General features: G+C 42.7%; 1 long non-coding RNA gene and 1 other non-coding gene across 2 annotated transcripts in view; one reads left to right on the top strand and one right to left on the bottom strand.

Moving 5' to 3' along the window:
- Nucleotides 1-26,921, bottom strand: part of LINC02346 (long intergenic non-protein coding RNA 2346) — a 150,761-nt gene that overhangs the window by 40,041 nt on the left and 83,799 nt on the right. The gene's annotated exons all lie outside the window — the stretch shown is intronic.
- Nucleotides 4,006-4,140, top strand: LOC124900363 (small nucleolar RNA SNORA48). The gene has a single exon (XR_007064813.1). It is a non-coding gene; the product is annotated as a small nucleolar RNA SNORA48 (small nucleolar RNA).

Below are 26,921 nucleotides of genomic sequence, written 5' to 3'. Positions count from 1 at the left end.
AAACATGAAGAAATAGGACATGTAAAAGACGAGTCAAGATATAGGTGGAAACCAGGAGAAGTATTAACATATCAGAGTTCAGGAAGGAAAGGAGAGAGAAAATGAGATCAAGGCAATATTTTAAAAGATAATTCTGAGAATTTTCCAGAATTGATTAAAGACCACAATCCACGGGATGAGGAAAACCAATGAATCCCACACAGAATAAATTAAAAGGAGCCTACTCCTAGACAGTAACATAATATCATCTATGTGCAGAGGGAATTTTATACACTGGAACAAATATCTCTCAAAACAAAGAAGAAATAAAGATATTTTCAAATCTACCACTGAGCAATTTTCTCACCTACAGACCGTAACTAAAGGAATTTCTAATACATGGTCAGAGATATATGAATTGAAGAACAAAAGAAATATTAAATATCATAAAATATAAATATTCATTTGTAAAACAACAACACTGTGAGATTTTAAAACTACAAGATCAAAGGTAAAATCAAAATAGGTGGCAAATTAATCACAGCACAAAAGTCAGAAAAACTGAGTTGTGTTTAGGATGAAAATAAAGATGTGAACTTTAGGTTTTAATAAGTTAGGCTAGAATTTCTAAGGTAATTGTGCTAGGCTTTGTTTTCCAAAGGTAGCTGCAACAATATTTCTCATCTGACGTGTCCTTCCAAAAGTGGAGTCTAATTCCCTTTGCCTTGAACCTGGGCTAGACTCTGATTTTCTTGTCGTCAAAGGATGTGGTGGAATGATGTTGTGAAGACTTCTGGGTTGAGAAAGCAATGCACTGCCCTCTTCTTCTAGGGTCACTGTCTCCTGGAACCCAGCTGCTGTGCTGTGAAAAGCCAAGCCCTATAGGAAGGTCCATGTAGGAGCTCTGGTGGCCAGCCCCAGCTGAGCCGAGCCTGTCAGTCAGTCCCGCCTGCAGGGCAGGTGTGAGTGAAGATGCCTCTTGATGATTCTGGCCCCAGCCTTTCAGGTATTCCCAGCTATGGCTCCAGACAACAGAGAAGAAAGACCAGTCATCCCCACTGGGCCCTGCCTGTCCAAATTCCTGACCTGCACCATCAGCGAGCCACTAATTCTTATTATTTTATGCCACTGACTAGGGGATGTTTGTTATGAAACAGCAGTAACTGGAGTAGTAGTCACTCAAGGAAAAAATAAAGATGTCTAACTTCCTAATTGTTATAGGGGAAATATATACAGAATAACAAACAAATAGTCCAAAAGAAAGAGAAGAAACCAAGAAAGCTTAAGGAAAATAGTAAAAATCAATCCAAATTTATTAATAATAATGATAAATGGGACTGGGCATGGTGGCTCATGCCTATAATCCCAGCACTTTGAGAGGCTATGGCAGGAAAATCACTTGAGGCCAGGGGTTTGAGATTAGCCTGACCAACATAGCAAAACCCCGTCTCTACTAAAAATGCAAAAAATTAGCCAGGCATGGTGGCACATGACTGTAATCTCAGCTACTCGGTGGAAGAATCCTCAGCTACTGAGGTGGAAGAATCACTTGAACCTGGGAGGTGAAGGTTGCGGTGAGCTGAGATCTTGCCATTGCACTACAGCCTGGGTGACAGAGCGAGACTCTCCCAACAACAGCAACAAAAGAAGATAAATGGAAATGGAATAAATGTGCCAAACTAATGATAAATTAAATGCTAAAGAATATCTGACTGGTTAAATAACAAAATCCAGCTATATGCAATTTAAGGAATATATCCAAAATACAACAACATATACTGACATATACATATTAGGAATAAACATGGGGAAAAGTAATAATAATTATAATAGATACTCACTATGGGCCAGGTATTATTCTAAACACTTTATGTATTAATATTAACTCAATTAATTCTAACAATAATCCATACTGAAACCTAAGTTCCACGAAGACAGAGATTTTTGTTTGCAACTGTTTCTCTCAAGCATGAAACAATTCCTGACATATAGTGGGTGCTTAATAAATATGCATTAAGTTGATGAAGAAATGAATGAATGAACAACCTTGTGAGGTCAGTCTTATTATTCTACCCATTTTGGAGATAGATAGGGAAATTGGAGCACAAAGTGACAGGGCCATCTATATTAGCTGAAATAGCTGTATTAATATCAGAACCATGGTGGCTTATGCCTGTAATCCCAGCACTTTGGGAGGCTGAAGCGGTTGGATAACTTGAGGTCAGGAGTTCGAGACCAGCCTGGCCAACATGGTGAAACGCCACCTCTGCTAAAAATACAAAAATTAGCCAGGCATGGTGGTGCATGCCTGTAGTCCCAGCTACTTGGGAGGCTGAGGCACGACAGTCGCTTGAACCTGGAAGGCAGAGGTTGCAGTGAATTGCACTCCAGCCTGGGCAACAGAGTGAGACTCCATCTCAATAAAACAAACGAACAAAAAATCAGAACAAATATATTTTGAAAACAAAAAGCATCACAAAAGAGAAAGAGGATCATTAAATAATGCAAAGATATCCAAATAAACCAAAAAGGTATAATAACTGTAAACTTATATGTAATTAATAACATAGCCTCAAAATATATTAAGCCAAGTTAGCCTCATTACAGGGAGAAATGGATAAATCGACCGTAGTAATAGGTGTTAACATACCTTTTTCAGTGATGATAGATCAAAGAGATAAAAACAAATAACCAGGCAATAGAGCATTTGAATAAAAATATGTAAAAGCTTGACTTGAAGGACATGTATAAAATACCTAACTACTATAAAGTACTTATTCTTTTCAAGCACAAAAATACATTTATTGACCAAATAGTGGGCAATAAGCTAGTCTCAACAAATTTCAAAAGGTTGGTATCATACAAATCACATTGGCCACCACAAAATGCCATTGTTACAAAAAGATAGATAGACAAACCACATATATTTGGAAAGTATAAAATACTCTTCTAAATAACATAAAATAATAAATCAATGAAAATTAGAAAATATTTAGAACTAAATTATAATAAAAATCACATATCAAACTTGTCAGATGTAGCTAAATCAATTCTTAGAGTAACATTTACAGTGTTACATGGTTATATTAGAAAAGAAGATTAAATATTAATGAGCTGCAGAATTAAATCAAGAAAGCAGAAAACTAACAGCAGAATCAAACTGACAAAAATAGAAAAAAATGAAGTAGAAAAGAGTGGAAATCCATGAAATAGAATATAATAACACAATAGGCCAGGCACAGTGGCTCACACCTGTAATCCCAGCACTTTGGGAGGCTGAAGCAAGTGGATCACTTGAGGCCAGGAGTTTGAGACCAGCCTGACTAACATAGCAAAACCCCATCTCTACTAAAAATACAAAAATTAGCTGGGTGTGGTGGTGTGTGCCAGTAATTATGGATACTTGGGAGGCTGAGGCACAAGAATCACTTGAGCCCAGTAGGTGGAGCTTGCAGTGAGCCAAGATCATGCCACTGCATTCCAGTCTGGACACCAGAGCCAGATTCTATGAAAACAACAACAACAAAAAAAAAAAAAAAAAAGAAGAATATAAAAAAAATATAATCACACAATATAATCACACAATAAACAACATCGTAAGGCAAGACTCGATGCAGTGGCTCTTGCCAGTAATCCCAGTACTGAGAGAGGCCAAAGCAGGAGGCTTGCTTGAGTCCAGGAGTTCCAAGACCAGCCCGGGCAACATAGCAAAAGCCCATCTATACCCACCCACCCACACACACACAAAATTAGCCAGGCATAATGGTGCACTTGTATTTCCAGCTTCTCGGTGGGAGGTGGCTGAGGTGGGAGGGTCACTAGAGCCTGAAAGGTCAAGGTTGCAGTGAGCTGTGATGGCGCCATTGCACTCCAGCCAGGCAACAGGGCAAAATTCTATCTCAAAAAACAAAGCAAAACAAAAGGCAAAAGTTAGTTCTTTTGAAAGACTAATGAAAAAGAAAATCTGTCTATATTGAATAAGGAAAAATGAAAGAAGACACAGAGAAACATGAGAAATGGAAAAGGTGCCCCTGACCTGGGAAGAGAGGGGCCTGGCTGGTGGTATCCATCTCATACCAGCTAGGGATGAAGAAACCGCTTGCTCATCCCAGCCTGGCTCCTGGTCTATGCCCATGCCTGGTTCGTGCCTTGGACATATCAATTGCTGGAATAAATTTTTTTTTAAAAATAGAAAAGATGATATAACTCTTGTCCTACAGGGATTTAAAAAGTTAAAAGATATTGGCAACAGCTTTAGATAAATAAACTTGAAAAGTAAAAGGAAATACACATTTATAGAAAAATAGAGGTTGCCAGTTAATAAAAAGGACATAGAAAGTATGAATAGTTATATGATTTCTCAAGTAACTGGATCAGTAGTTAAAAGTTTTCCATCAAAGACCAGTGGAGCACGGTGGCTCATGTCTGTAATCCCAGCACTTTGGGAGGCCTCGGTGGGTGGATCACCTGAGGTCAGGAGTTCGAGACCAGCCTGGCCAACACGGCGAAACCCCATCTCTACTAAAAATACAGGTGTGGTGGCAGGCACCTGTAATCCCAGCTACTTGGGAGGCTGAGGCAGGAGAATTACTTGAACCTGGGAGGCAGAGGTTGCAGTGAGCCAAGATCGTGCCATTACACTCCAGTCTGGGTGACAGAGTAAGACTCTGTCTCAAAAAAAAAAAAAAAAAAAAAAAGTGTTGCATCAAAGAGAAAACACGATTTGAGCTCTTCTGAATATTTACCAAACTCAGACTCTGGGATTTCCAAATTCTAGAGAAAGAGAGGGCTTCCAATTTGTTTTATAATGTTACCATAACCTTAAGAAGCCAAAATCAGACAGAAACAGCATAAGAAAGGGAAATTAGAGTCAAATCCCAGGCATCAATAAAAGATAATGCATCCTGATCAATTTGAGTTCATTCTAGGAAGGCAAGATTGAATAAAATCATAAAATCAATTAATGTATTAAAACAACAAACCAGAAAAATAAACTTCTATAATGTTTAGAAAAAGTGAATTTATCAAAACCCCACAGAGAATATTTTACATAATATAAAATGCTGAACACTTTTTTTTAAAGGTGAATAACAAGAGCAGAATACCCATTACTACTATTACTATTTAAAATTGTGCTGGAGGACTCAGGCAACAAAAGAGGGAGAAAATATTTGAGGAATGAAAAGGAACAAGCAAAACTGACATTATTCAAGAGCATTTAGCAAGGCTCCTGGAATGAAAAGCAAGATACAAAAATTGATTCGGTTTCTATACACCAGTGACAAAGAGAACATGCTTTTTATGAAGATATAATAGACTCAAAAATAAGAAATACTCGGGAATAATTTTAACAAAGGATGTCTGAGATCTTTATGAAAAATGTTAGAACACTTTTTTGAAAGATGTTTTTTAAAACCCCAATAAATAGATGTTTGTAAATTTGAGTTCTCAATATCATAAACATGTCCATTTTTCCCAAATTGATCTACACATATAATGCAATGCCTATCAAAATTCCAGCAATTTTCTCTTTTTAATGGAGATTTTGAGAAGCTGGGTTTGTTGTTGTTGTTTTGAAACAGGGTCTTGCTCTGTAGTTCAGGCTGGAGTGTAGTGGCATGACCATGGCTCACTGCAGCCTAGACCTCCTAGGCTCAAGTGATCCTCCCTCCTCACTCTCCGGAGTAACTGGGAACACGAGCGTCGGCCATCATGCCTGGCTACATTTTTTAATTTTGGTAGAGACAAGATCTTGCTATGCTACCAGGCTTGTCTTGAACTCCTAGCCTCAAGCAATCTTCCCACTTCGGTCTCCCAAAGCACTGGGATTACAGATATGAGCCACATGCCTGATCTTGACAAGCTGATTCTAAAATTACAGAAAACAGCAACGGCCAAGGATGTCTTTGACATTCCCAAAGTAGGAGAGCCAGGCAGGGAGACTGATGAGGGACTTACAACTTGACAAGTGGAATAGAGTGCACAGCCTAGAATCAGACTCATCCATACCCAGAACCCCGACTTACCACAGTCATTGCTGCAGACCACTGGGAAATAAATGCTGCATTTGATAAAAAAAATTAACTGAATCTCTACTTCTCACCACACACACACACATTAAAAGTGAGGGGTAGGTACATTAAAGGTAATTAAATGTGAAGAGCAAAATGTAAGTCTTTTAAAAGACCATGTATGAGAACAAATTTATGACAGAAGACAAGTTGACAAAACATGCACACACACACACGACACACACACACACACACACACACGCTACAGACTCTACCTGAAGAGACACATACATTGCAATTGAGAACTTCTGATTGTTAAAAGACATCAAACAGAGAATGAATGTATACATCACATGACAGGTTATGTATCTACAAAGGGGCATGAAGACATACACATACCACAAAATGGGGCCGATATATCTCACCATCTTATATATTCTGGATATAGCACCCGGAATACAAAAGAACTCCTTACAAGTCAGGCATTTCCTGGAAAACAAAGCACATGAGGGCCAGGCGCAGTGGCTCACATCTGTAATCCCAGCACTTTGGGAAGCCAAGGTGGCCGGATCACCAGAGGTCAGGAGTTTGAGACTAGCCTGGCCAACACGGTGAAACCCCGTCTCTACTAAAAATACAAAAATTAGCCGGGTATGGTGGTGGGTGCCTGTAATCCCAGCTACTTGGGAGGCGGAGGCAGGGGAACTGCTTGAACCTGGGAGGTGGAGGTTGCAATGAGTGGAGATTGTGCCACTGCACTCCAGCCAGGGTGACAGAGTGAGACTCTGTCTCAAAAAAAAAAAAAAAAAAAAAGGAAGAAAGAAAGCACACGAGGTCAATAAACAAATAAACACATGAAAAGATGTTCAGCCTCACAGGTACCTGGGGAAACACAAGCTGAAACCACGGGTGCTATCGCTTCACACGTCCCAGACTAGCTATGACAATGTCAAGCATGAACAAGAACACGAGCAGCCAGTGCCCTGGGTACAGCTTGCGCAAGTGTAATTGTTATAACGGTCAGCAATTTGGTAATGTGCATAACCTATGGGCAAGCGAATCCATAGCTAGATGTATGAACTAGAAACATTTTGCAATTTATATGTCAGGAGTCACATATAAGAGTGTTCATAGCCCCACTTTATGTGAAGGCAAAAAACACTGAAGACAGTCCAAATAGCCATCAAAAGTTGAATGAGTGGGTGTATTACAATGTATTAATTTAAGGACTACTATTTAAGAAAAAAAAATGAGTTAATTACTCCAACCCACAACACCTCAGTGAATCTCAGGAATTAGCTGAGGAAAGAAATGAAATTACAAACAATATAAGTAGTGTGCTTGAATTTATATTGGTTAAAAACATGCAAAGCTAAGCAATGCACTATTTGTGGATACAAATAAAATTAAGAGCATGATAATCACACAATTCTGCACAGGAATTTCCTCTGACTCTGGGGGCTGGGAAGGGGAATGAGGTGAGAGCAGGAAGAGCCTCTTAGAAGACTTTTCAGGTATGGTTCACCTTCTTCTTTCTTTGATTTTTTTGTTTGTTGGTTTGTTTTGTTGTTGGTTTTTGTTTGTTTGTTTTTGAAGACTGAGTTTTGCTCTTGTTGCCCAGGCTGGAGTGCAATGGCGTGATCTCAGCTCACAGCAACCTCCACCTCCTGGGTTCAAGCAATTCTCCTGCCCTCAGCCTCCAAAGTAGCTGGGATTACAGGCAGGTGCCACCAGGCCCAGCCAATTTTTTGTATTTTTAGTAGAGACAGAGTTTCACCATGTTGGCCAGGCTGGTCTCAAACTCCTGACCTCAGGTGATCAGCCCGCCGCAGCCTCCCAAAGTGCTGGGATTAGAGGCGTGAGCTACCGCGCCGGCCTCACATTCTTCTTTCTTAAACCAAGTTGTCTGTACATATTTTTTTGTTGGTGGTATTATTTATTTCTTAGAGACAGGGTCTCACTCTGTCACTCAAGCTTGAGTGCAGTGGTTCCATCCATGGCTCGCTGCAGCCTCAAACTCCTGGGCTCGAGTGATCCTCCCACCTCAGCCTCCTGAGTGGCTGGGGCTACAGGCATCCACCACCATGTCCAGGTAGTTGGTTTTATTTTTCTAGAGATGGGGTCTTGCTATTTTTCTCAGGCTGGTCTCAAACTCCTGGCTTCAAGTGATCGTCCCATCTCAGCCTCCCAAAGTGCTGGAATTACAGATGCAAGCCACTGCACCCAAACATAAATTTTTATTATGTATAATTTTTGTACCCCACATAGATTTGATAATACTGTTTTTAAAATCTATTTTATCTTCAATTTAAGGACAATTAAAAACTTTTTATAGAGTAGCCAGGTTTTGCCCAGAAATACCATATGATCTTTAATTCTCAATAACTGGGTGAGAAATATCTCCTGATTAAACCAAATGGGAAGGAATAAAATGAATCAAGGGATGTTGGCTTTAAATTTTTAGTCTTTTGATGGAAAACAGCAAGGAAGCAACTTCCTACTGATCATCTAGATTGAGTAATGTCCAATTAAATAGAATGTAGCTAAAAATAAAACTTCACCTATGATTATATAATGGTAGATTGGTACAAAGGCAAAACTGCCCTGCACGGGGAACTTCAACCCTACCATAAAGTTGCAAATCTCTTCTAAATTAACCTCTGAAGGAACTCCTGAGAACTCGTTTGTAAAGTGAGGTTAAAAAAAAAAGTTTGTAAAAATTGTGTGTTGTTAGGCAATTCTATCATTTTCCTGGTCCGTGAAGTGACCTGACAATTACGTGTTTTGACAGAGGGTTATGGAGCTGGCTTGGTTAAGCATATAGTAGTTTCCTGCCAGGTGGCAAGCGCCCCCTTCTAGGCAATCACTGCCAGGTTCACCATCACAACAGACACGACCTGGGGTGACATCAAGAATCCGCAAGTCAGCAGGCATCCTCAAAGCTAGGGAAAACTGTCTGTATGCCAGAGAACATAATGACAGTGTCACGCTTCTGAGCCACTATCCCTCCGCGACGGGGAATAGGAGACAGGTACTACCAGCTTGCTTATCCTGGGGTTAGAGCCTGTCTAGGTCTTTCTTGGGAGGTTCACTTTGGGATAAGTCACACTTTGGGTCATCACAATTTACATATCTCATTCTGATGAAACAGCCAAAATGAATATTGCACCATGTGTTTTAGGGAGTAAAGGATATGAAAGTTGTCATCTGCAACTTGAGTGGTGTGTTCAAAGGCAGGGGGAAGAAAAGTTGTTGACAATGGCCAACTGTAGCCCTATGTTATCAATGATTCAGTAATAAGAAGTCTGATTTATTGAGCATTTACTATGGTCTTTTTCTTTCTTTCTTTCTTTCTTTCTTTCTTTCTTTCTTTCTTTCTTTCTTTCTTTCTTCTTTCTTTCTTTCATCTTTCTTTCTCTCTTTTTTTTTCTTTTGACAGAGTTTTGCTCGCTCTTGTTGCCCAGGCTGGAGTGCAGTGGCACAGTCTCGGCTCACCACACCCTCCACCTCCAGGGTTCAAGCAATTATCCTGCCTCAGCCTCCCAAGCAGCTGGGATTACAGGCACGTGCCACCACGCCCAGCTAATTTTTTATTTTTTTAGTAGAGACGGGGTTTCTCCATGTTGATCAGGCTGGTCTCAAACTCCCGACCTCAGGTGATTTGCCTGCCTTGGCTTCCCAAAGGGCTGGGATTACTGGCGTGAGCCACCGTGCCCGGTGGCATTTGCTGTGTTTCTAGGCACAGTACGAAATGCTTTTCACAGATTTTCTCATTTTCAAAAACGTCCTCTAGGGAGTTGCTTCTAAATTAGGAAACTATTGCTCAGAGAGACACACTGACATGGCACAGATCACACGGTGTTAGAAGCAGGGGGCCAAAGCCCATGCTCTTAATGACTCCACGTGCCAAGACTCAGGAAGATGATTCTGCCATAGGTTAAACATATATACCAAGGTGGTGGAAATGGGAGTCCTGGAATAAACCCTCACGTTTTGGGCCAAGTGATTTTCAACAAGGTTGCCAAGACCTTCCAGTGAAGACAACAATGGGTAATCAAAAGAGGGATTGGCCAGAAAAGATGAAAGTGCAAAGATCAATAAAAAGTGATCCTGGTGGAAGTGAGATCTGAGTTGAAAGCGGAGTTACAAAAGAAATAGCTGACCTTGGGAACGTTGACACTGCTGTTATGCAACCAGGGAATTGAGTGAAGGAGAATTTATTGTCATGAATTAAGAAAGTGGCTGTGACAAAGAGGAGGAAGACACCCCAGAAGAAGTGACTCCAGCAAAAACTTTCCATATTATAGGAAGCCTTATTGAAAACAAAAGGAATAGAATGCAGGAGATGATCCCACAGAAAGGAGTATGACACGTCGCCAAGGGTTAGAAAAGATGCACACTCCCTACTGTAAGGGATGCGCTAAGAAGGCACACACTGCTCAAACTCTTCTTAGAAAGGTGTTTTCTTTTCTTTTTTTTTTTTTTACAATCAAGTAAAACACTTTAATTCTCAAAGTTTCTAATGTTTCAAATCACGATATGCTATATAAGTAGGAGTTTTACTAGTTTTTAATTTCCCTATGCATTTATAACCCACAATAAGAGAACTTTTAAATGTTTTCACAAATTTTGTTAAAGGTCCCGGAGCAATGCTTTTGATTATTAGGATCATTTTGCACAGTCTCAGTTTGCAAGGACATTTTTACAGACTTGCACTACAGGTCAGAGTAAGAACAGCCAATGTCCATTCAGCGTAAGATGGCTCGGCCATCTACACTTGCTTCACGGCCGTGACGGGGAGGTTGTGAAGATGAGTATGAGGAAACGCACAGACTTTGGCAGGCGTGTCATTTGTTCATGTAAAAGCAGCTTGCCCCCATGGGACCAGATTGAACTCAACTCCAAAGAGGAGATGTGAGAACATTCTTTTTCATTTTCTTTTTTTTTAAGTGCAGTGGTGCGATCTCGGCTCACTGCAACCTCCACCTCCCAGATTCAAGCGATTCTCCTGCCTCAGCCTCCTGAGTAGCTGGGACTACAGGTGCCCGCCACCATGCCCAGCTAATTTTTTGTATTTTTAATAGAGACAGGGTTTCACCATGTTAGCCAGGATGGTCTCGATCTCCTGACCTCGTGATCCGCCTGCCTCGGCCTCCCAAAGTGCTGGGATTACAGGCATGAGCCACCACACCTGGCCGATGTGAGAACATTGTAGTGTGCAATGAGGCCTTGCCATCTACACCAAAGGCAAGGGAACCTCCCTTTGACAAAGCTACCTCTGCACTGACTCTTGCATGGAAACATGGCTGTTGTGTTACTTGCACCATTTGGGTAACAGAGAAGTTTTTCAGCTACCTCCAGAGATAGGGCCTTTATCATAAGGAGAAACACGGAAACAAGGGAAATCTCATAGGAATGCAGATCATTATGTAGATGAGCCTTATGAGAAAAGCATGAGTGGCAACCGTGCCTGAACCAGGCCGCTGAGGGCCCCAGGCAGCAGGAAGAAGGGGTTATCTTAGTGTGCGGCGGCCACTCCGCTTCTTCCCCTCTGGATTACACCCCTACTGCCCCCAGGTGCACACCTCACCTGAGTTCCTCAATGGCTTTTTCTCCTAAGTCCAAAGTCCAGCTCCATCATGACTGCCTACGGCCATTCTCGCGGCTTCAGTTCTGCATCTTCTCCTGAAAATGACCGAATCCTTCTCTCCACGTTTCCCTATCCGCATTCAAAGAGGGAAAATCTGGCTGGCCTTACTAATTCCACCTCCTCTGTTAAAGAGGAGCCTCCCACTCTCAGACACTCCATGGCAGGGACATCAGCCAGGAAATCACAAAGGTTGGGGTGTGGGACAGAGCAGGAGGTGCAGACAGGGACTCCAGGGAGGGCTGAGGCCGGGGGCCAGGTGTCTCCATGCCTGGCGGCGTCCTGCAGTCAGGCCTAGTGTGATGGTCCCAGCACATGAACAGGACCCAAATGTTTGCCAGAAAGAAAAGCTGTTTCTGCATCAGAAGTTGGGTAAACACTTGCCTTCTAGATACTAAATGAAGAAGAATTAAATATGTGTTTTTGTTTTGAGATGAAATTTCACTCTTGTCACCCAGGCTATAGTGCAGTGGCGCCATCTTGGCTCACTGCAACCTCTGCCTGCCAGGTTCAAGTGATTCTCCTGCCTCAGCCTCCCAAGTAGCTGGGATTACAGGCATGCGCCACCATGCCTGGCTAATTTTTTGTCTTTTTAGTAGAGATGGGATTTCACCATGTTGGCCAGGCTGGTCTTGAACTCCTGACCTCAGGTGATCTGCCTGCCTCAGCCTCCCAAAGTGCTAGGTTACAGGTGTGAGCCACCACACCCATCCTAATAACACATTTTGACAAATTGTTGGAATCTAAATTAAGCCTAATGACTGCTACTGTAGTTATTAGCAATTATCTTATTAATAAAAGTGTATCTTTCTGTCCCTTGTCATATTTCTTTGGTTCGTTTTGCTTCCATTAAATGGGAGAAAAGGATACTCGAGTAACTTTTCTCACCCACCCGTGACAGCATCAGCGATTATACTTGAATTGTCTTTTAGTTCTACAAGTTATAATGTAGATGAGAGATGAATCCATAGATTAACACTGATCAAACAAAGCTTCTGAAACTATTATCTGATCCATTATCACTTTCTATAAAATTATAGAAGGAACCATTTGCAACTGAATAGAGGATCTCTGAGTTTTGCCTCCTTGATCATCCCCTGTAAAGAAGACAAAAACAGCAGAACAAAATCTGAAACCAACTTATATGAAGAATTAACCCAGAAGCTTAAGGGATTCTAGTGATTAAAAAAAAGAAAGAAATTATAGTTGAAATAGAAAGTCAAACTTTATAGTCTTACAGAGAAATTCTTACCCATTTTCCCAGAGAAGTCATAATCTATGCAAAAACAGAGAGAAAGGAGAAGAGGCTTGTTTCTTCCTAGCAATGAGAGAGAGAGAGAGAGAGAGAGAGAGAGAGAGAGGGAGAGAGAGAGAGAGAGAGAGAGAGAGAGAGAGAGGGAAGAGAAGAGAAGAGAAGAGAAGAGAAGAGAAGAGAAGAGAAGAGAAGAGAAGAGAAGAGAAGGGAAGAGAAGAGAAAAGGCCTGGTTCTCCCTAGCAAAAAAGAGAGAGAGAGAGAGACAGAGAGAGAGAGAGAGAGAGAGAGAGAGGAGGCTTGGCTCTCCCTAGCAAAAAAAGGAGAGAGAGTCCTGGTTCTCCCTAGCAATGAGAGAGAGAGAGGAGGCTTGGCTCTCCCTAGCAAAAAAAGGAGAGAGAGAGAGGCCTGGTTCTCCCTAGCAATAAGAGAGAGAGAGAAGAGGCTTGGTTGTCCCTAGCAAAGAGAGAGAGAGAGAGAGAAAAGAAGAAGAAGAAAAAAGAAGAAGAAGAAGAAGAAGAAGGAGGAGGAGGAGGAGGAGGAGGAGGAATAGGAGGAGGAGGAGGAAAAGGAGGAGGAGGAGGAAGAGGAGGAGGAGGAGGAAGAGGAGGAGGAGGAAGAGGAGGAGGAGGAGGTTTCGTTCTCCCTAGCAACAAGAGAGAGAGAGACAGAGACAGAGGAGAAGAGGCTTATTTCACCCTAGCAACAAAAGAGAGAGAGAGAGAGAGAAAAGAAGAAGAAGAAGAAAGGAGAAGAAGGAGAAGAAGGAGAAGGAGAAGGAGAAGGAGAAGAAGAAGAAGAATAAGAATAAGAATAAGAAGAAGAAGAAGAAGAAGAAGAAGAAGAAGAAGAAGGAGAAGAGGCGGCGGCGGCGGCGGCCTGGTTCTCCCTAGCAAAAAGAGAGAGAGAGGCCTGGTTCTCCCTAGCAATGAGATAGAGGGATGGAGAGAGAGAGAGAGACAGAGAGAGAGAGAAGAGGCTTGGCTCTCCCTAGCAAAACAGGAGAGAGAGAGAGAGAGAGAGAGAGAGACCTGGTTCTCCCTAGCAACGAGAGAGAGAGAGAGAAGAGGCTTGGTTGTCCCTAGCAAAGAGAGAGAGAGAGGGAGAGAGGAGAAGAGGCTTGGTTCTCTCTAGCAACGAGACAGAGAGAGAGAGAGAGAGAGAAGAGAAGAGGCTTGGTTCACCCTAGCAACAAAAGAGAGAGAGAGAGTAGAAGAGGCTTGATTCTCCCCAGCAATGATCTATGAGGAAGGCACTGAAGTAGCAGCAGTGGTAGTAAAAATATTGATACTTCTGTCTAAGTGTTACACTAAGTATGTTATTTGTATACTAACTCTGTAATCTTTACAATATCAGTGTTCAGTAGATGTTTTTTTACCCACATTTTACAGAAGAAGAAACTGAGGCTTATATAGGTGTGTAACTTACTCAAAGCTACACAAGAAACAAATATCCAGAAAGTGGTTGACCCTGAGGCCGTGCTCTCCAACAGACGCGATCCCAGGAAAACGTGCAGGCAGCCGTGCATCCTCTAGAGACTGATCCCAGGCCCACAAACAGCTGTCAGAAAGCAGTGCTGCTTTCCAAACCAAGGTCTTCTGGTGCCTAATCTCGTTCCTTTTCTACAAAATGCAATTACCTTAACTGTGAAGTGGAATAAACAATTTTGCTTCTCTCCAACCTAGCCATTTCATAATATAAGGTGTTATTAATGCCAGGATGTCATTTCTCAATTTCCTTAGTTTTAATTAATTTGCTTAGCATACTTTAATGTATATCTGATAGTTTAATCTTTTATAATAAAAAGTCTGTTGTAAGTTAATTAAAAGTGTTATTATGTCTTAAAACAGCAGGTTTTAATGGGCTGTTGATCACAGAGAATGGATTTCTTTATAATGATGTTTTTCTTCTTTAATTGTGAAGTATTTGTATAATCAACTATCATTATTGCCAACTTAATGGCAAAAGAAAATTTAAAAAGTAATTTTGCAAATACTAAAACTACAATATATAGATGAAAACAAGAATAATACAATGACACCTTGGATTTTAAAATAATTATGATAAATAATTGAACTTACAACATCTCTGTGGAGCAAGAAAAAAAACCCACTTCACTTGTAGGCAAATTGTAGCTGAAAGGAAGATTGAAATTATTTTCCCCAAGTAAGCAATGGTGATGACTTTGAAAAGGTAGGGTAAGGTTTTTGGCTCCAGGGATAATGGCATGTGAATTTATTTCTCTTTTATGAAACAGAAACAAAAATTAAAATTACAAACTTCAAGAGATTAAAGATTCTTTGAATCTTTGCTGAGAGAAATGAAAGACCTCAATAAATGAAGGGAAGTTTTTTGTTCATCAATTAGAAGAGTTTTGTTTTTTTTTTTTTTTAGTTTCACTCTTGTTGCCCAGCTTGGAGTGCAATGGCACAATCTCGGCTTACCATAACCTCTGCCTCCAAGGTTCAAGCAATTCTCCTGCCTCAGCCTTCTGAGTAGCTGGGATTACAGGCATGCACCACAATGCCCAGCTAATTTTGTATTTTTAGTAGAGATGGGGTTTCTCCATGTTTGTCAGTCCGGTCTCAAACTCCCAACTTCAGATGATCTGCCTGCCTAGGCCTCCCAAAGTGCTGGGATTACAGGCATGAGCCACTGCGCCCGGCCTAGAAGAGTTGATATTTTTAAGATGCTTATTCTTCCCAAGTTGATCTGTAGATCCAATGCACTCCCAGTCAAAATCCTGGCAATTTTTCACAGAGACTGACAAGCCGATTCTAACATTCACATGGAAATGCAGACAATCTGGAAACTGCCAAAAGTACTTTGAGAAGGAACCAAGTTGGAGGACCAAGACAGTTAAATCCAGGGAAGAGAATAAAGAGTCCAGGTATAGACCCATACATATATGGACAACTAATTTTTGACAAAGCTGTAAGGGCAATTTGGTGGAGAAAGGGCAGTTCTTTTCTACAAAAGGCACTGGAATAAATAACAGATTATATATACATACCCTGATATGGTTTGGCTGTGTCCCCACCCAAATCTCATCTTGAATTGTAGCTCCCAGAATTCCCATGTGTCATGGGAGGGACCCGGTGGAGGTAACTGAATCTTGGGGGCGGTTTCCCCCATGCTGTTCTTGGGATAGTGAATAAGTCTCACAAGATCTGATGGTTTTATAAAGGGCAGTTCCCCTGCACAAGCTCTCTTGCCTGCCGCCATGTAAGATGTGACTTTGCTCCTCATTCGCCTTCTGCCATGATTGTGAGGCCTCCCCAGCCATGTGGAATGTGAGTCCACTAAAACTCTTTCCTTTTAAATTACCCAGTCTCAGGTATGCCTTTATTAGCCATGTGAGAACAGACAAACACATACCCTATGCCAAAAAGTAACTAAAAATGTATCTTAGACATAAACACAAAGCCTAAGGTGATAAACTTCTACAAGTATAAATAGGAGAAAGTCTTTGTGCTCTTAGGTCAGTCAGGCAAAGATTTCATATTTATGACACCAAAAACACTTCATCAAAATTAATCATTCTGCTTGCCTGAAGACAAGCTACAGATTGACAGAAAATATCTGCAAATCATAGATCTACTTAAAACATCTAGAATATATAAAGAATTCTCAAAACTAGGTAATGGGAAAATAACCTTTTTTTTTTTCTTTTTTGAGATGGAGTCTTGCTCTGTCGCCCAGGCTGGAGGCAGTGGCGCAATCTCAGCTCACTGCAAGCTCCACCTCCCAGTAAACAACCCATTTTTTTAATGGACAAAAGATGTGAGCAGGCATTTCAGCAAGGAACATATATGGATCACAAATAACCACATAAAAAGATACTCAGTATCATGAGTTATTAGAAAAGTACAAATTAAAACCACAAGGAAGTACCACAATGCACACATCAGAATGACTAAAGTTAAGATTGATCATGACAGAAGTTAGCAGGGATTCAGAGGATCTTGAACCCTCATACGCTGCTGGTGGAAATGAAAATGGCACACTCATTTTGGAAAGCAGTTATCAGTTTCTTAAAAAGTTAAAAATTCATCTACCATACGATCCAGTCACTTTACCCCCAAGTATTTGCCTAAGAGGATTGAAAGTCAATGTGCATACAAACACATGCACATCAGTGTTCACAGCAGCTTCATCTGTAATAACCACATGCTGCAAACAACCCAAATGTCCATACAGAAAAGGGAATGAACTATGGATTCATGCTGCAACATAAATAAATCTCAAAATAATTATGCTTAACAAGAGAAGACAAAGCAAAAAAGAACATATTCTATGGCTCTATTTATACAAAACGCTAGGAAATGCAAATGAGTCTATAGTGTCAGAGCAGCTAGTGGCTGCCTGGAAGGGTCAGAAGCAATTATAATGACTCTACAGGGGTACGAGGAAATTTTGGAGAGTGACAGATATGTTGACTATCTTGATTGTGGTGATGGTTTCTTGAGTATTATACATATGTCAAACATATCAAATTATATTATTTATGTGCAGTTTATTGTATGTCAATTATAATGCTATAAATATCTTTTAGAAGTTAAATTTAAAATACAAATGTTAAGGGTGGATGTTGAGGAGATACAGCTAAGGGAAGCTTGTACAGTTTCAGGCAGTTCCAGCCTGGATTCCAGTATGTTGCATAACATACTGAACTCAAACCACTGAAAAGGAGGCTTAGCAGTTCTGCCTCAGTTATCCTCTATATGTCCCCAAACACAAAATCATCCCACCCTAAATCCACTCTAAGGCCCTACTTCCTGAACCTTTTACTCCCAGCAGAGGTAATGGTTCTCCAGGCCCCTGATACTGAAAATATCCATGTACCAGCAGTACCAGCATCTCCTGGGACCTTGTAATGAATGCAGGATCTCAGGTCCCACTGATACCTACTGAAACATAAATTGCATTTGAACAAGGTCCCCACAGGCTTGAGGGCACATCAAAATTTGAGACACAGTGCACCTGATGGAGCGTGACATAGGGAGGGCCTGTCCACGAGGACATGGGGTCTGCACCTGTTTCCTCCCTTTGCATGGCCCAGAAAAGCAGAAAAGAATGTGTGTCCTTCCTATGAATAATACAGGGAGATGGCATGTGAAGTTCAAGGCTCCTCTTTCCAAAAGCCCTGGCAGCCGGCAGAGCGGTGTGCAGGGGGGATGTTGAGGAGATACAGCTAAGGGAAGCTGGTACAATTTCAGGCAGTTCCAGCCTGGATTCCAGTATGTTGCATATAAACTCAAACCACTGAAAAGGGGGCTTAGCAGTTATGCCTCAGTTATCCTCTATATGCCCCCAAACACAAAATCATCCCACCCTAAATCCACTCGAAGGCCCTACTTCCTGCACCTTTTACTCCCAGCAGGAGGCTTGAAGGAAACCAGTGAGACCGTAGCACCAGGCACACAGAGCCACCCTCTCTCTGACTTTCTTTGTTGTAGAATCAGCAAAAGATTCCTCCCCTCCTCCTCAATATGGGCCATAGCTTTTTGACAGTGGCATGGAGCAATGGTACCCTCCAAAATGACAACCACCATCAAAGTAGTGACACAGTCACTACCTAAGTTACCCTCCAAAATGACAGCCACCATCAACATAGTGACGTGGTCACTACCTAAGGTACCCTCCAAAATGACAGCCACCATCAAAGTAGTGACACGGTCATGCCAGGTCCAAAGGCCTGTCTTTTTGTTCTTTAGTTTTCTCTCTTTCACTGAATAACAAAGGGACCCTCACCTGGGCTGGCCTCTGTCTGACGTAGTTTTAAATCTCAAGTCAGCAACACTGAGACTAGATTCTTTCGCCCGAAGATTTTCCAAGCAGCTGTATTGTTTGAAAACACAGTTGGAAATGTGTTCAAGAAGACGTTGGCTAAAAACCTAATCTTGTGATCTACAACTAAGAGGTTCTAAAAAAAAAATATCATTTGTTTCCCCCCCAAGAAAAGTTTTTTAACATCAGAGACGGGCATGTCACAGAGCAGGAACTGCATCAGGGGGCCGTGTGGGCTCCAATGGCCGGAAGCCCCAGAAGGCAGGCAAGCTTCTCAAGCACCTGTGCGATACCTATAAAGGGATGAGAGAGGATGAATGAATAAATCAGGAGAATGTCTAAATAGGTAGAAAACCGTAGGCACCCTGCAAAGCGCTAAGACAAAGATGGGAGAAATGCAGCTTTGGTGTCCAGGCAATAATGTGTAGATTAAAAACAAAGAGAGAGAAAAAAAAAAGAAAAGTTGTCATTAAAATGCTCCAAAATATACTGAATGGAATATTAAAGTCTCCCTTCAAGTCTGCTCCTAAATATGAGTTAATAAACCTGGGATTACACAGTGCAGTTGATTAGACAAGGGCCTCACATACAGCAAGCTCATGGTAGCTAATGTGATACCACAATAGGCTCTTGTATAGTATTTTGGAAGCATTCACTGAATGAATTCAGAGTCAGGTTTCCAATAAAACAAACAACACTCCCTTTACAGATTCTGTTTCAGTCAAAATTCCTAATTCGAGGGGAGTAAATGCCATGAGAAGAAGCTAAATCTTGTTAATGATCCTGCATGTGCAAAAAATATTCCCTGGAAAGTGCTAAGTTGCTACAAAAATGTCTGTAGAAGGGAAAAATTAATTCATTTGTGCTTTTTTGGTGATTCTCTTTCCTGGTAGAATCAGTAGTATTGATTTTTATTTGTAAAAGTCACTTCCATTTTTTTTTTTCCTCTTGACTATGTGTGTCAGCTAAAATTTTCCCTACTAGGAAGTCGCAGCTGTGGTTGTGAGACCTGGCTAACCTGCATTAGCCACGATTTCAAGCACGTCATTTAGTTTCTTTGACTGTCTTCATATGAAAAAGACAAGCAATCATGTTTTGAGAATTAAATTAGATCATGAATGTGAAAGTGCATTAATAGATGTAAATGTTAAAAATTGAAACTACTGTTATCATCTATTACTATTTTAATTTATATTCTTTTAACTAATTCATCACATGATTAAGTCAACAGAAGGAATCTGAACAGCCTTCTGACCCATTCACTGCATTTCTGTAAAAACAGATCCCAATAGGTCATTATGTACAAAATAGAAATTACAATTTTCAGGTATATGCAATTCCTACATGCAAGTTTCCTTAAGGCTAGAGATAGGCTTAAACTGAGTCCTATTTATTGCTGCTCTATGTCTTGACTATAAACTTTGACGTATCTGGGTTTCTCTGCAAGCAAGGATATGGAGAAAGATATTTCAGATGAACAAAAAGGACATTCAAGAAAGTAAATTTTGGAAGGCAATTCCCCATGGTCCTTTTGCACCTCTTGAATCAGCTTTCGTTCCAGACTGTCATTTCAAGGATATTTTTATAGCAAATAGCTTTGGAAGATAGAGATAGTGTCTACTTCTGGGGCAGAGGGTACATTTATTTCCTGACCAGGATAAGAAAGAGAATGCCTTTTTCTGTGGCATTGGTTGGGGCTTCCTAAACTCAGGGGTTCTTAGCTGTAATGCAAACTCTCTGTCTACCCTGTCCACATGGACCCTCTGTGTCATCCTCATGGGCTGTGGAGGGTAGAGGGAACTGATATGAACCTGAAGCTCATGCTGCCTTCTATGCTACAATAGTCTATCGTCTCTGACCCAGGAGTCTCATATCTTCTGGCAGCATCTAGGAAATGGCGGTGGGCTAACTTATTACCTTGAAAGTAGCATAAACTCTTCACAGTTCTTGACAGTAACATTTTCAAGGTGTTTACTGTTGATTTCTGAAGCATTTGGGCATCTTAGAAACTCCTGTTAAGTAGTGATTTGAACAATTCCATCACTACCACCAACGAACTAAAGAGAGCGCATAAGTCCACACAGACACAATTCTGGTAAAGCAGAGCTTTTCAAACTTGAATGAGAACTCGGATTCTCATTCAGTTCATCTGGGGCAGAGCTAAGATTCTGAATTTCTCACAGCTGCCTGGTGGTGCTGCCTCTCCTTGTCTGTGGCCCTCACTCTGGGTAGCAAAAGTGTGAATCATTGTTCCAGTGTTGATCTGATTCTGATTCAACATTGGGTGTATGTTAGAAAGAGATCATCCTGGCCAGGCACGGTGGCTCACATCCAGCACTTTGGGAGGCCAAGGCAGGTGTATCACCTAAGGTTAGGAGTTGGAGACCAGCCTGACCAACATGGAGAAACCCCATCTCTACTAAAAATGCAAAATTAGCCAGGTGTGGTGGTGCATGCCTGTAATCCCAACTACTTGGGAGGCTGAGGCAGGAGAATTGCTTTAACCTGGGAGGTGGAGGTCGCGGTGAGCCAAGATCGGACCATTGCACTCCAGCCTGGACAACAAGAGTGAAACTCTGTCTCAAAAAAAAAAAAAAAAAAAAGAAAGAGAGATCATCCTAAGCCACACCCCATCCAGGCTGCATCAAGAGCCCTTGAATGGGTCTGCGTCTTCCATAAGTCTCTCAGTGATTCCTTTGCACATTAGCATTGAGGGTCTTCATCCTAATTTCCAATGATGCAGAGAGCACAGACTCCTGCAGCTGGTCCCAAGCTGCAGGATGCCCAGGTCCTCTCCTTCATCACTTGAAGGGTGGAGAGACTGGAAGCCCCAGGAATCACCTTCCCCAGATTACAGTCAGCAGGACAGAAGCACATCCTGTGCCACTGGCCACAGCAGCACTCTTATCTCGCATTGATGGGAGCATGTTTTTTCTGGAGAGTTCCACACATTCTGGAGCACAGACTTATAGGACTGGAGGGCTGGGAGAGGGTATCCACAGAGGTCCCCTCAGCCCTCCTGATCAAGTGGGCCACACTGCGTAACTCGCCTTGGGCCTCAGTATCCCGTTTGTGGAATCAGTTTTCCAGGGAAGAGTTCTTCCTGCTTTCATGTGCTGGAGTCTAAATCATGTTCTCCAAATGGAAGCGATGTGTTATGGACTGAACGGTATCTCCCCAAAATCCCTGTGTTGAAGTCCTTACCTTCAGCACCTCATAATGTGACTATATTTAGAAATAGTGTCTTTAATGAGGCAATGAGGTAAAATGTGGCCATTAAGGTGGACCCTCATTCAATCTACCTGGTGTGTCCTTACAAGAAGAGGAAATTTGGAGACAGAGAGACACCAGGAATGCGTAGACACAGAAGAAAGACCAGGTGAGGACACAGTGAGAAGGTAGCCTTCTACAGGCCAGGAGAGAGGGCTGGGAAAGAACCAATTCTCCCAACACCTTGATCTTGGACTTCTGGTCTCCAGAACACTGAATAAAGAAATTTTTGTTGTTTGAAGCCCCTGGCTGTGGGTGCTGTTTGTTATAGCAGCTTGATCAAACTAACGTACTATCCCACAATCAAAAGGTTTCCAAGAAGCAGCGTTCTCAGTCATCCCTGCAATCCCTACATAGTATTTCATAGCCATCTCCACTGGGAAGTTCTTCCTGAAAGCATATCTTCATTTCTTCGACTAGAATGAAGGTTCCTTTTCTCCCTTCTTTAGTGAGAGAGAGAAAATGGCCACCATTCTCCATATAATAGCTTTTCACAAAGGTAAGCACTCTAAATAAATCATCCTTTCCCAAACTGAATAAATGGAAGCCCACAAGAAACAAACAACAACACTGCTCTGGTCTAAAAATGCAGACGCTAAAAGAAATGGAGGAAGGGCGCTAACAGGAAGCAGTGACTCGCAGCTGAAAACTAGGCAGCAGGTCTAATTTGTCCTTCGTCTCCTTTCTGTTGCATTTCGCGTTTCGTTTCCATGGAAATCCACTTTTGTGGGTGATCTCTCCTCGCAAGAACTACAGGCAGATTTTTCAATTTGCATAACGCAGTGATTTATGGTGCAGATACGAAGCTGGCAGGAAGGATGGAGGGTGGGGGAAATGGGGGACAACTGGAGCTGGGGGTCGGCCTCCAGTGAAAGCCGGAGATCCCAGATCCGCGGGGAGCACGGGGGAGCCACCGAGCAGGGCCTCAAGCCACGCACCAATGAAGTCTCTGAGGGACATCACTCTCCTTTTTCTCATGGAAAATGTATTTGCAAAATCCAGGGCATTCAAGTTGGTGTTTGGATATGGGAAAAATAAAAATAAAAATAAAAAAACCCTGGGTAACAGCAAATCTAGGGAATGTTATCGGGCATCAAGCGATCCCGAAATAGATCGTATTTCTGTGGGGAGGGCACACACGGACACACAGAAGCGCGTAGTGGACCCGCCCCCGCCACCCTGCCTGCCCCAGGCCTCCTGCTCTCACCTGGCTGCAGGTGCGCGAGTCTTTGAACTCCCGGACAGCCTTCCTCACTGAATCCTGACTTCCTTTTAGAATGAGCGGGGAGTGTTCAAAAAACCCAAGCCCCACCTCAGACCACCCAACCCAAACCAGATGCAGCAGTCCTTCGGGCCGGCCAGAACCCCCGAGCCCAGGATCTCGGACTGGGAGCGGATTCCCACCTGGGGATTCCGGTAGGGCAGCGAGGGCGGAGGTGCAGTCGGTGAAGGTTTCACGCTCTGCCCACCTTGCGCTCCTCATTCCGCACCCTCCGGGCGCGGCTGCCGCCTGGCCTGGCTGCCTCTCAAGGTCCGCTTCTACTTGGAGTCTTGCCGCGCCCCCCTCAGCCTGCAGCCCCTAAGCGGGCTACAACGCAGGCTTTGGGGTAGTCTCAGGTTCCACGTCCAGTGTTCCCACCTCGGCCTCCCTGCTCTTTGGCTCCCCCCGCTGGCCGGGCGGGCTTGACATTAAACCCCACTTGGAGGGTTCTTAAAGGACGCCCAGGTGCCACGTGGAGGGCTCAGAACCCCAGACATGGACTCTCCACAAACGACAGCTCTGATGGATCGGAGGACCCACAGGAATCCAAGCTCAGCGGGTGAGAAGGTGGCCTTCTACCAGCCAAGGAGAGCGGCCTTGAGAAGAACCGATTCTGCCCACATCTTGATCTTGGACTTCCGGGCTCCAGAACTGTGAAGAAATAAATTACAGACTCCAGGCCGCAGGAACGGTTCTTTTTGCAGTCTACTTAGTGCCAGCTTTCTCACATTTTTTGTGCTTTTTGTTGGTAGTTTCACTGTTTAAAACGGCCCCAAGCATAGTGTGGAAGGGCTGGCTCATGTGCTGTGCCTTATGGAGAAAATATGTGCCTTAGGTAAGTTTTGTTAGCCATGAGTTCAATATTAATGAATCAACAGTGTATACTAAATAAGGGGTCTTTAGACAGAAGCACATGTAAAGCAAAGAAAGTTATGAAACACACGGCCGGGCGCGGGGGCTCAAGCCTGTCGTCCCAATACTCCAGGAGGCAGAGGCGGGTGGATCAACTGAGGTCAGGAGTTCGAGATCAGCCTGGCAAACATGGTGAAACTCTGTCTCTACTAAAAATATAAAAATTAGCCAGGCATGGTGGTGCACACCTGTAATCCCAGCTACTTGGGAGGCTAAGGCAGGAGAATCGTTTGAACCCAGGAGGCAGAGGTTGCAGTGAGCAGAGATCATGCCATTGCACTCCAGCCTGGGTGACAGCGCGAGACTCTGCCTCAAAAACAAACACACACACACACACACACACACACACACACAAAACAAGGTTGATGAAAACATGACCAGGGGCTCACAGGAATCTAACCTTGTATTTCCCCTGGAAGCAGTGGTTCGGTATTCACTGATTTGCTAATTCAGTGTTCACAACAACTTTGTAGAACATAAACACCTCAAATAATGAGATTCAACTGTATGTCCTTTAAACTACTCCCACTTATAGACCTAATGAAGGGGAAAAGCATGCTTGAAAGCCCAAGAAAATTTACTCCGTGCAACCCTGGGCTCCATGGACATGGGTAGGCCACTGGCCAGCAGACTGGTTTATGTGGTCACTGCAAAAAGTTGTCAGGTTTGGCTGCCCCAGATCCCAGCTGTTAGAAATGGCACATTATCTGTAATATATCCAAATACCATGAGCTAACTGTGAACTTATCTGTGAAATTACAAAATTCGTTTAAATGATTTTGAAAGCCACTTCTAGCCCCGAATGTTGTGTTTTGATAATTATATCACAAAATGTCTATTTCTTTCACAAACAGGACCATGTCTAAGCTAGGTCCTCAAGCATTACGTATCACTTTAATGAGTGAAGGGAGCACACACCTTTCTCACTGGGATGTTTCAAGGACGTTTGAGCATACCATTCTGCAAATATCCATGCTTATGCCAAACTGCATGTACTGAACTGAAGCACACTCAGCTTTGGGGTGGGCCCCAGGAGGGTTGGGTGGGAGGAGCTGGGTGTGTGTGGCTGACCTTTCAGTCTGGTTGGGAAGACAAAGCGAATGCAAATGAAACAAACAGGTAGGAGTTCGATGGCTGAGTGGGCCATGCTGCACTTCAGTGACAGAAACTCTGGAAGCTGAATTTCCCTGCAGGCCACCCACTCCTGGCTTCTCTGTGCATCTGGCTAAGGCATTCCGAGTATCAGTGACTCCACACTCCCTGCTCACCTGCCCAGTGACCCAGATGTTTTCAAGCTATGGATTCTAAGGACTAGTGGAAAGAGAGAGCTGAAATGATTGATGGCTTCTTGAGTCCATGCTTCCAAACTGACCATGTGTCGCTGACTTTCCATCCATCTCCAAGAGAAAGGGTCTTCATCTGTAATCCTGAAGCCATCCCCACAACAGTTGACAGAAATAGCATGCCAGTTATAATTAAGCAGGAATCTGGCTGCACTTGGGCCCACTTCCTTGTTGCTGAAAGTCAAACAGCATTAGTTATTGACCATTTGCAACCCCATTGTTCCCACAGGTAGGATCCTGACATTAGAATCATAAGACTTTTGTTTAAGAATTGCTTAAGATGTTTTCCAGATTCTGAATTCCAGTGAAACAGCTGAGGCCAACCAGTTTGAAGACCCCTACAGGGGAACAGAATCAGCAGGAGAACACAGCTTCTTCATCTCCCCGACCCATGACTTCACCATGCACTCTTCCACCAATCAACCATCTCCTCATTTCACCCACTACAAAATCCTGAAGATCCCTACCCCCTTGGTGTCATGTGCATCCATGTGAAGAGACCACCAAACAGGCTTTGTGTGAGCAAGAAGGCTGTTTATTTCACCTGGGTGCAGGTGGGCTGAGTCCGAAAAGAGAGTCAGCAAAGGGTGGTGGGATTATCATTAGTTCTTACAGGTTTGGGATAGGCATACAAAGTACCTTCTTAAGGGCGGGGGAGAATATATTGTATCAGTTAGAGTGGGGCAGGAAAAAATCACAGTGATGGAATGTCATCAGTTAAGGATATTTTCACTTCTTTTGTGGATCTTCAGTTGCTTCAGGCCATCTGGATGTGTACGTGCAGGTCACAGGGGATATGATGGCTTAGCTTGGGCTCGGAGGCCTGACACCTGGGGAGTCAGATTTGAGGTTTCCTCCCATTTCCTCATTTGGCAGCCCTTTGTTAAATCTCCTTCTCTTTTGCAACGCAGTGTCTCGGTGTACCGACTTGCCGCATACATCGGGCAGTGGACCTATTATGGTTACAATCCTAGAAGCTGGAGGAAGACACTTCAATCTTGGGACCAGCAATAGCTCCTTGGGCAACCATGTGCTGTGAATGTACAACTACAATTTTTGATTATGAGGTAATCTTTCCTGACCTTCTGATAAATGGGGCATCAAGGTCCAAGACAGACTTTGGTTACAGCATTGCCTTATCTGGCACTCCAATGAGAAGGAAATCTCCATCCTACCTGGAAATTACAGAAGCTGCTATGTGGTTGGTATAAGAGGGTCCCTTGGGATTCAGAGCCCATGAGCACATTTTCTGTACTGTATATTCTCCTGACATTTAGAGGGCATTTCAAAATATAGTCATGACATGGAAGGTGGTGCAACTCAGAGCAGAGCATCGGCCTAGGCAAAGAAACAAGGGTCTTTTGGAGTGACCCATGCCAGATTTTCTAACTTTCATCATCTCTATTCTTCAAGGCTAATCATATGTTTGTCTTAGGGCTGTCTCGGGGTTATTGCG

This window comes from Homo sapiens, chromosome 15 (genome assembly GCF_000001405.40).
Source record: "Homo sapiens chromosome 15, GRCh38.p14 Primary Assembly".
NCBI classification, from domain to species: domain Eukaryota; kingdom Metazoa; phylum Chordata; class Mammalia; order Primates; family Hominidae; genus Homo; species Homo sapiens.
This window is presented reverse-complemented; position numbering and strand designations above follow the sequence as displayed.